The following is an 11229-nucleotide window of genomic DNA, read 5'->3' as shown; positions in this document are numbered from 1 at the left end:
TTTTCCTTAATTAAATGTTCACACTGTCATGGGGATAGTATGGATTTACTGAATACTAATTCTGTGCCAGACACTCTGCTGGGCATTTTCACAAACTTTATGTCATTCCCTTGAAAGAATAGCTCTGGAGGGGAGCATTTTTATCTCTATGCTTCCAGTTAAGAACATTGAAGCACAGGGAGGTAATCACATGGCTAACTGGGCACAGCAGACTGCTCGCATCCACCCCTACTGATGCTACACTGTCTTCCTGGAGCTGATGGTGTTATCTGATGAGAGCCAGTGCTCCAATTCACACTCACGCTTTGTTCTTGACCAATCCAAACCAGATCCTTTCCTTCAGCACATGTTGGCTTGGCTTTTTATCAAACCACACCCAATAATTCTGGGTGGAGTTCTATGGAAAGTGACTAAAAGACAGATGTGGAAGGACTTGACTTTTCTCTTTGATCCCTAATTGTTTTTTTTTTTTTTTTTTTGACAGAGTCTCACTCTGTTGCCAAGGTTGGAGTGCAGTGGTACAATCTTTGCTCACTGCAATCTCTGCTTCCTGGGTTCAAGTGAGTCTCCCACCTCAGCCTTCCGAGTAGCTGGGACTACAAGCATGTGCCACCATACCCAGCTAATTATTGTATTTTTAGTAGGATGGGGTTTTGTCATATTGGCCAGGCTAGTCTTGAACTCCTGACTTCAAGTGATCCTCCCACCTCGGCCTCCCAAAGTGCTGGGATTACAGGTGATCCCTAAATTTTTAAGGTGCCAAATATACTTGTTTTTGTTGTTGTTGTTGTGTGTGTATTTTAATTTTAATTTTATTTTTATATATTTTTTGAAACTAGGTCTCATTCCTGTTGGCCAGGCTGGAGTGTCATGGCATGATCACGGCTCACGGCAGCCTCGACTTCCCGGGCTCAGGTGATTCTCCCACTTCAGCCTCCCAAGTAGCTGGGACTATAGGTGCATGTCACCACACTTGGCTAATTTTTTGTTTTGTATTTTTTGTAGAGACGGGGTTTCATCATGTTTCCCAGGCTGGTTTCAAACTCCTGGGCTCAAGTGATCCACCAGCCTTCCCAAGTGCTGAGATTACAGACCAGCCTTGGCCTTCCCAAGTGCTGGGATTACAGGCATGAGCCACCATGCCTGGCTGTGGGGTGTGTGTGTGTGTGTGTGTGTGTGTGTGTGTTTGTTTAAGGGAATTAGGCCAGAGAATTTCAGAACAGCCTTGGATCTGTGTGGGTCAGTAACTGCAAATTTTAAATCTTCTGGCCTGTCATTTAAAAAAATTAATCTTTTATTCTGAGAGCACACTAAAATTAAATATGAAGGTTCCTTTTGCATTAAGTGGTAGAACACAGTCTGAAAATCTTGTGGGTTTCCTTATCCTGACCTGAATGTATAGTTCTATTGTGAAGTTTGACATTTGTCCCTAGAAAGAGTCAGAGAAATGAGGAAAAAAGTCACTTATTCCATGACAATACATTATGCACTCAGCAAAATACGTTATTGAAGCCTCTTCCCTTGGTTCAACCAAAAACACTGAATCCATGCTTTATTATAATATAGCTTCATTATAATGTAGCGTCAGACATACTTTGTCAACCAGTTCCCTATAGGCCTCTGGATATGTAGTAAGCTACGTGGTAAATGTTGACCTGGCTGAAATTGGGTTTGGCCGCTGAATCCTCCTGAAAGGAGGGAAGCTGAGCTTTAGGCTTCAGGGTTTGCCAGACCCATCCAAGCCTGGATTTACTGCTTGGCTGAAAAGACACTACCCTGCTGTCAAGGTGACAGATGATTTTAGTGCCAGGTCATTTCTTTTTTTATTTTTTATTTATCTTTATTTTTTTTATTTTTTTGAGACGGAGTCTCACTCTGTCGCCCAGGCTGGAGTGCAGTGGTGCGATCTCAGCTCAGTACAAGCTCTGACTCCCGGGTTCACGCCATTCTCCTGCCTCAGCCTCCTGAGTAGCTGGGACTACGGGTGCCGGCCACCACTCCCGGCTAATTTTTTGTATTTTTAGTAGAGACAGGGTTTCCTGTGTTAGCCAGGATGGTCTTGATCTCCTGACCTCGTGATCTGCCCGCCTCGACCTCCTAAAGTGCTGGGATTACAGGAGTGAGCCACCGTGCCTGGCCTGTGCCAGGTCATTTCTGTGTTTTCCTGTTTGCACTGTCCTTACTCGCTGATCATTCCTGCTGCCAGAAGGCACTGTCTTACCGTCTCTATACAACTTTCCAGATTTATCTCAATTCCTATCTTTCCCAGAAGCCACCAGTAACTACTCAAGCCCATATTGTTCCCCTATCTGCAAAGTCCATCAGCAGCTTATTTACCTGTGTTTTTTCGGCTTTCTGTCTTGTCTTTTCATCTAGATTGTCTTCCCCAGGGACAGGCATGCTGCCTTATATGTCTGCTGTGCACAAGCTGTCCTGAGAATACGGCAAATGTACAGGCAAAGTTTTATAACTTTAGGAAGTTGTGAAAATGCAGTATTTATTCACAGGCCAACAACCCCAGGGATTGCTTGCCATTGCTAAAGTAAATGAGCAGTTGTAAGAAATGTGTCTCACACGGGAGATTTTCAACTGTCTGGTTTTTTTTGTTTGTTTTTTGCTTTTTTTTAAGTTATCCCTGCAACCAGTTAGGAGAGTTGAGCATTTTTTTTTTCATCTTTTACAAGGAGAAAAACCAAACAAGCAGAAGCTTCGTGCAATCATCTTCCAGGCTAAGTAACCTGGAGTCTCATCCTGTAGGAATTTATATTTATTTCATTTGTATCTTCTTTGAATAAAAGCAATCACTTTAGACATTTAAAATAAGTTGCAAATGTAAATTTCATTTAGACTTGAAAGCTAGTTCCATGTATATTCTTTTCTAAAAATTTCTTAAAAATTGAGGCATAATTGACATACAGTGAATTTTACTTTCTTTAGTGTGTGGTTTTGAGTTTGACAAACATAAGCAGTCAAGCAACCACTGTCACAGCTAAGATGTAGAACACTTCCATCATCACCCACCAAATTCTCCCAGCCCTTTATTGTCAATCCCTTCTGCCACCTCCACACACCATCAGTCTATAGATATGCAATGGTTTCGTGTCTCATGACTGAGAAGCACAGAGTTCTGTGCCATGACCCAAATTACAAGACATACATGGAGGAGCTGGCTAACTCTTCTTGGGAAGGCCTAGGTGCAGGAGGAGGTAAAGTGTTGCCTGGTGACATCTGGAGTTTGCATTTGGGGGTTGAGAAATGTGAGCATAGACCACCAGCATTAAACATTCTTGGTAGCCAAATTACAAAAATTGAATTCAGCACAGGGAGGAATTACCAAGGAACTAGGAACTAAATGTCCTTGAACAAGTAGTAAGGGGGTGCTGGACATCACAAACAACTCTCTTTACATGGGAAAGAGGGCAATTCTCACACGCCCATAGTTTAAAGAGCAGAATCAAGAAAGATACTCCACAGTGCTTTTCAGAAGCATGCTGTTATCTTTTAACCACCTGAAAGAAGAGCTGTCAGTAGCAAGAAAGTGCTCTACCTGCAGTTCCTTGTGGGGTTCCTCATCCTTGGCTGGACCTGAGAATCACCCAAAGAGCTTTTGAACAGCACCAATGCCCTGGCCCCATGCCTGAGGGTTAGTATTTATCCGAATTTAACATCTCCCTAGGAGGAGGTATTTATGCTTTCTTCTGTGCTTTTTTCATTTTTATTTTTTATTTTTGCCCAGGGACCCCCAGGGGTGAACTAGAGCCCAAATAGACTAGAAGAGTCCTTTGCCTAAAATGCTGCAGCAAAGGTGTGGATAGTGCCTCTTGCTAGCAAGCTTAAATTTTTTTTTTAAAATTTTTAAGAGAAAGGGTCTCAACTGTTGCCAAGTCTGGAGTGCAGTGGTGTGATCATAGCTCACTGCAGCCTCAAACTCCTGGGCTCAAGCAATCTTCCCACCTCAGCCTCCGGAGATGAGTGGCTTGGACTACAGGCGTGTGCCACCACATCTGGTTAATTTTTAAATTTTCGTAGACATTGGGTCTGGCTATGTTACTCAGGCTGGTCTTGAACTCCTGGCTTCAAGTGATCCTCTGAGTTGCTGGGATTACAGGCATGAGCCACTGCATCCAGCTCCTCTGTTAGCAAGTTTTAAATTTGCTTCCAGGGGTGCTGTAGGCAGAACCCGAGAGGGTGTTCAGCCAGAGTGTGAGGGCTACAACTGCTGCCAGTTTGCAGAAGGAGTAGGCTTAAGTGCAAGATGTCTTAGAGAGGGTGAAGTTAAAGCTGTGCTGTATGTTTGCCTCTTCTACTAGACTGTCAGCGATTTGAAGCCAAAGACGACTGTGGCTTGTTCATTTTTGTTTCTCTAGTGTTTTGGATAATGCTTGGTGCGAATAAGGGCTCACAAATGTTGATGGAGTTATGGAAGGATTGATAGCCTTGGGAAAAGCATTGCCTATTAAAATTAACTTTCAGTATCTGATTACTGATGCATTGATTTGTCCATAACTCATATTTTCAAGAAGTTAGATACACCTGCAGGTGTAATTATGTGTAATACAGGCATAGTTCAGGTATATATGTGCAAAACTCCACCTGTAGGAGGGGAAATAGTCTTAAGAACTGCATTATAATAGTCTGATTGCACTTCCCTATCAAATGTCCATATGTAAATATAAAAAGATAATTATGGAGAATGAGATTGACAGGAAAATAAGAGAAACTTTAGTCTTCCTGTTATACTTGACACACAGCAAATCTTCCAAATGTCTTGGGTAGGTCAGTGCTAGAAATTTTCTTGAGATTATGACTCCAGAATATGTACTTGGAAAAATTCCAAGTCTATTTCCAAGACTGTTTTTAAGTTTTTGGGCCTAGATTTCTCCAGAATCCAACTCCTCTGGCTCTGCTTCCCTGGCTGCCACCTCCTCTCCGCTGGATTATTAGAACAGCTTCCTAACCTGTTTCTGCATCTCTGTGCTGGCCCCTACACTTATTCTAATTCAGCAGCTGTAGTGATCCCTAATGAACAAATTGAATCCTTTGCTCAAAATGGTGCAATGATGGCCATTTCTCTTAGAGGAAAAGCCATTGTCCTTACAGTGCCATGCAGAATCCCATCCAGTCTGACACCATTCCTACTCCCCTCACCCTGCTTGCTCTGGGACAGCCACACTGGCTCTGCAACATTCCAGGACGTCATCTTCTCCACTCCCTCGTCTCCTTAGAATCTTTGCTCAAACTGCCTTCTCAGTGGCACCCACCCTGTTCTCTCCATCTAAAATTGTAAACTGTCCCTCACCCCCCTTCCAGGCACTCTGGGTCGCTTTTTATTATATTATTTCCCTATCTGCTAAGAGCTACAAACTCTTAGGATGATGCCCAGGTTCTTGACATGACTGCTAGACTTTACATGAATGACATTTCCAGATGGTTACTCATAATTCTAATTCCTGGGTTTAGTTTCCAGCCAGGCACTGTGTTAGATGCTGAGGATGGGTACTTTCATAGGAACATGTGCAAGAAGGTCGGAGAAGATCTGGAAATGAAACAGGAAGACAGTATGAAGAAAGGGTAAGGGAAAAATTCAGAAGCAGTAACCTCTGAGTTCAGGCGGCAGGATGGGCAGAAGTTTTCAAATCAGAAGACAAAGCATGTTTTTTTATGTAGGCAGGAGTAGAAGTAGAAAAGGCACACAGATGTGGAGCAAACCTGGGTCTAGACCACAGAAGTGGGGTACAGCTTGAGAAATGGGAGTGTGGGAGGTGGTGGTGTGGTGGCAAGACATGAGGTTGGACCAGTGGGCGGGGCCAGATCAGAAAGAGTTTTACATCCCATTAAGAAGCCTGAACTTGATCATATAGTCCATACAAATCAATAAGAGGGGAGGGAGGGGAAGAGCATGTATGAGGTTTAGAAATATTTTCCCAAGGGCTTGCAGGGTGGACGGGACAAGAGATAACGAGGCAGGGAATGCAGTTGAGAGTCCTTCGTGACAGTTGACCTATGAAACGATGAGGACCCAGCATTTGACAAGGGCAGTGACTGCGGAGACAAGAACGCTGGCAAATAATATTGGCAGGACTCAGTGAACCATCTATGTAAGGAGGTGAGAGATAAGAAGGACCTCAAGATGGAGTTCATTTTTTTTCTGGCCCAGGTGGATGGAAGAGAGGATGTACAAGTGGAGAAGATGTCTGAGTAAGGAGTCTGGTAAGGGTGATATTTGGCTCTGTTTTAAGCATCTAGTTTTTGAGGCTCCAGTGAAGGTGTCTGGAGGGTATGGTGTGCAAGCGAGAGAGAGGCTGGGCTAGAGGAGCGATTTGGGAGTTAGCAGCTAGGATTTGGGTCCTAGAGAGAGGAGGATGAAGAGAACACCAAGATGTAAACAATGGGCAGAAGAAGGAGCTGAGCCTGGGCAAGGCAGGAGGGAATCTGAGAGGGAGGTGTCCCAGAAGCCAAGCGCAAAGCTCAGAAGATGTGCTTGGGGGGTAAGGTCAGCTATAGAAGCAGGAGGCGGGTGTAAAGTTTCTTTGTTGCACTTGAGAGGTCCTGGACACCTGGGGAGGACGGCATCCTGTCACAGTGTGACTGAGGTATGGAGAAGGGGATGAACAAATGGATCAAGTGTGCATCACTCATTCAAGAAAGAAACTTTGCTGTGAAACAATGGAGATCTTGAGGGGAAGTCAGCTAGGGAGGGATGCAGAGGGCGTGGAGCATGACCTAGAAAGATTGGGAATAGAGGAAGGGGAGTGGACAGACCCCAGGTGCTGAGAGGAAGGGAAGGGGCTCCTTCAAGAGCATGTGGGCGCCATGATAGCATGCCCGATCACAGGATACAGTTTCAGCACCTTGCTGTGGTTATGTATGGACATGACTAAAAAATGTCGAGGAAAATGGAGATCCAAATTGTTCTTCTAGGGTGTGACAGTGTTGTAAAATGGAATCCTTTAAAGTTTTTAGGTCTTTTTCTGGTCACCAGCGAAATAGTATCATTCTTAAGATAATTGACGTTTTGCTTTCTAGCCAGGCAATGGTTTTATCAGACTTGCACTGAATTTGGCTTCTAGCAGAGCACGAGTTCGAAGAACCAGCCCTTCTCTGGATTCCCTGTAAGAATTTGAGTTCTGTTTGCCACTAGAATCCACAACTGCAAATTGTTTCTATGTTTAAAGGAATAATTATATTCATCAGATTGGCCATGCCTAAATCAATGAAAAATTAATGGAGAAATTTTCCAGATGGAAGTTTGAGAAGTCACAATACAAAATTAAAATTCAGTTTCTCTAACTCACTCTATTTTGATATCAAACTCCAGAGAATCAGAAACATTAATGGCTCTCTGTGACACAAGAGAGGGTATACACTAGCATTCTCTGTCCTAACGGCTGGCATTACTGAGATACTTCATTTAAAACTTGTTTCCCCAAAATATTTGATGTGTTGATTTAAAAAAATCCAAATTAGGATCATAAGCTACACCAAAGACGTAAGTAAAATACACATTCTTATCAAAGAATGCAAGATATCTATATATTTTACCTTTATAGATTAGGCAAGATTTGCTGGAGAAATGACACCAGGCCTCCAACTTGCACTTCATCTGTTAGTGTTTTTTTGTTCTTATTTATTGGTTTGGTTCAGCCAAGGATAACCCCTGCTCTTGGAAGTTCACATTATAAATTGAGGTTGCTAGACATGGAGAATGATTTCCTATTTCCTCCTCTTACCTTTCCTTTTTTCTTTCTTTCTTTTTGATATGAGGAGCAGAAGGATTTTCTGTGTGTGTGTGTGGTGCACATGTACCTCCATTTTTTATGTCTGTCTCTCTCTCAAATTTTGAGGATAAAATAACACAAAATTACCAAATGTCCAAGTGAAGCACATAGTTTGTCTTTTCTGGCTCCACAACCCTCTCAGCTCCCCAGTGAGGAGGAATGCAGCCCTGGTTTAGAAAGGCAAAAGATCCACACCAGGCCACCTGTTTTGGAGTGGTGCCTCGGTGGAGGCATGAAGAGCCTGGACAGGGGCCAGCACCTCTGTGTGTCTCTTCATTCTGGGCTGCTGGGTGTGAGGAGCCCAGGCCTCTTTTTCTCCTTTTGTTTTGTTTGGATTCACTGCCCATCCAGCTCCAGCCCAGGATTCAGGAGGGAAGTTTCTCTCCTCCTTCCTTTCTCTTTCTTCAATTTTTCATTGTTATGACAAATTCTTGCAACTAACCATTGTTATCTTGCTTTTACACCTTACTTGCTTTCTTTTAACTTTTTTTCCATTTCTTGTATCCAAACTCTGGCTAATTGTATCTTAAAAAAAAAAAAAAGTCAAAGAAGCCAGAAGTTCACTTTTGACTTAGAGGTATACTGCATAAGATTATTACCTCTCTTCACCCTTTTTCTTTTAAAGGAGGGTCACTATCACAACTGAATTTAGAAAGAAAGTAGTACTACCTTTTTCCAATACGAACTCATTCAGTATTAGGGATTTATCTTGAGTTGTGTATGAGTTCTTTGATTAAGAAATGCATACTTTTCTCTAAGTATGAAGCCAGCATTTCTTATGTACATAGGAAGTTAAGGTTTAGAGAATAGGATCTCAGCACATGCTTTCATCTGAGTAAGAAAGAATATCATGTTTATAAACATTCTCATGGAAATATATGCATGGGTCAAATGAAAAGCTACCTTGCTGTATCACAGTATCTTTAGGTGTTTGGCAAGAAACTAATAATTTAGCATGTGGAAGAGATGTCTCCATGAGAAATAATGAACCTGAGATCATTGGGTTTTCAATAATTTATTCTTATTATTATCTTTTAGAGAGGCAGGTTCTTGCTCTGTTGCTTAGGCTGAATTGCAGTGGCATGATCATAACTCACTGTAACCTCAAACGCACAACCACACCTGGCTAATTTTTTCTTTTTAAAGAATTTTTTGTAGATATGATCTCGCTATGTGGCCCAGGCTGGTCTCGAACTCCTGGCCTCAAGAGATCCCCCCCACCTCAGCTTCTCAGAGCACTGACATTACAAGCATGAACCACTGTACCCATCCAATAACTTTTTTTTTTAGTTACAGAAGTTTCTTTAGTAATTCCAGTAAATCCAGATTATCAGAAGAAAACAAAGCACAAAAATTAATCTCCACCATCTTTCTCTTTATACCCTTCTTGAACTCCTCATTCCTGCTTGATCAAAACTATAATTTTTTTTTTTTTGCAGATTTTTTTTCTTCAGCAATGTTCAGATATCTTGGGCCCTGACTTCAATAATGTTTCAGTGGCTTAGGCTGTTCAGGCCACACTTAGTTCTACGGTGGCCTGAATGTGACAGGAAGCAAAACTGTCTTTGCCAAAGGTTTCATTGACCCTTGGCATGCTTTGGGAGTCATAAAAGATATCAGTAAAGATTTGCCTGCTGTTTACATTGAGGGTAACACAGTTGTTAGTATTTGTAGGGATACAAAATGAACGACTTTGTCAACTGTTGGGCTTAAAGGTTTTTCGATAAGTGGTTTACGCAGTTTCAGATAATGTGACGTAAGGTCACATTCTTTCAGGACTCTTGTTACTCGTTAAATTGAGCTATTTTGTCTACATAAATTTGATTTGAAGGCAAATGATGTACCCAATGATGTATCTACCTAGTTTTTAGTGCAATAAATTCATGAGAGATGCAAGGAACCTGTGACTGAAAATTAAGTTTTCTTTGTTGGAAATTATTGAAGTAAGCTTTAAAATAATTCAAAATAATCCATTTTTAGTATTGAGATGTTCACGTGTTATGCCACTTGCAAAATGAAAATCTTCAGTTTATTATGTTAATGTATTTGCAAAGCTATCACCTCGATTTCAAGCCCAAAGTCCTCCCAAATCCTTGGAAATCAAAGAAAAGTCAGGTATATGTGCATGGAGGAGGCTTCCATATGTATTTCTAGATCACTGTTAAGTCAGGACAGGTAAAATACATGTCCCAGTGACCTGGCTTCATCAACACGTGACTTTACAAGTCACGTAAACTATCTGAGCTTCAGTTTTGTTTTGTTTTCTTTAACCTGAAAAAGAAAGGAAACAAAAATATTTATTAAACGTAGCTTAAAGTTCTACAAAACTATAAATCGTGCTTTTGTTCTTATTTTAGTAGCTGTTAACTTTCTATTTGTAACTTCCAGGGAATAAACTCATATCCTGGGAGCTTAATTTATGTCATACTTTTGAGTTGAAGGATGAGATTATTAAAAACATGAATCTCTAAATTGACAAGATTAGGCAATTTCCTGTAGTGTTCATTCATTTGTATCACTTGATAATTGATAACAAGCAATACGTGTTTTAAATAAATATTGGACCGATTAATTGAGAATTTCTGGGAATTGTCCTGGACATAGGTATTTTTAAAAGCTCCCCAGATGTGTTGATGTGCAACCAGAGTTAAGAATACTTGCTGTAGAGGTATTCTGACCTTTCCTTTTCACATTTTAGGTGAAGCTCACTGTGCAAATTTGTATCCAGCCCAAACTACCGATTCAGCTGAACTAACTTGTGACGAGAAAAAATCTTTTGAGTTTCTGCAAAAGTGGCTAACTAACCCAAGTGATCGATGAGAAAGGAAAGCTCAATGGAATGCAAAGTCTGCCCTCCATTTTCTCACCAAAACACAAAACCTCAGCAAGGATGAAGTTAAAGGAGATGGAAGGACAGTACTTTTAGATTTAAATGGTGTGTGTGTGTTTTATATTTTAAATAGTTTTTTAAATCAAGTTCTTCCTTTGTGATGTTTAGAAGCATCAAACCATTCCAACACTTAGAAATTAATTGTACTAGAGGATCATGTGCATGCTAATTATTGGTTGCTACAGAAACAGACTGGATTTCCTAGAACTATGTCAATTTCATGTAATCTTGTTGTTTTCAAAAAAGCCCATTTATGAAATGCACATATGTGATTTGATTAAATCATTTTGTAAGCCATCTGTGTGTGTGTGTGTGTGTGTGTGTGTGTGTGTGTGTTTCGTTAGGAAAACTTTCTGGGCCCAGGTGTCTCCTTATGAATTTTTTATACCGGGGAATTTTGCCATCAACGTCCCGTGCCTACATCAGCCAGTCAGAAAGGAACTTGTAAAGCATACTAGAATCCCTAGGAAACATTGGTTCCTAATCCTCTTGGAACTTGGAGTCTGTCATCTACTCACAATAATACTAATGGGAACATTTCATTAAAATTCTGTCCAGACT

At 41.2% G+C, this 11229-nt stretch overlaps 1 long non-coding RNA gene across 1 annotated transcript; it reads left to right on the top strand.

Moving 5' to 3' along the window:
- Positions 1-873: 873 nt before the first annotated feature.
- On the top strand, positions 874-10965 carry LOC124907992 (uncharacterized). Its single transcript, XR_007088104.1, has 2 exons — positions 874-915; positions 10477-10965. It is a non-coding gene; the product is annotated as an uncharacterized LOC124907992 (long non-coding RNA).
- Positions 10966-11229: the final 264 nt, after the last annotated feature.

This window comes from Homo sapiens, chromosome 2 (genome assembly GCF_000001405.40).
Source record: "Homo sapiens chromosome 2, GRCh38.p14 Primary Assembly".
NCBI classification, from domain to species: Eukaryota; Metazoa; Chordata; class Mammalia; order Primates; family Hominidae; genus Homo; species Homo sapiens.
The sequence above is the reverse complement of the archived record's forward strand: the minus strand, read 5'-3'. Positions and strand labels throughout refer to the sequence as shown.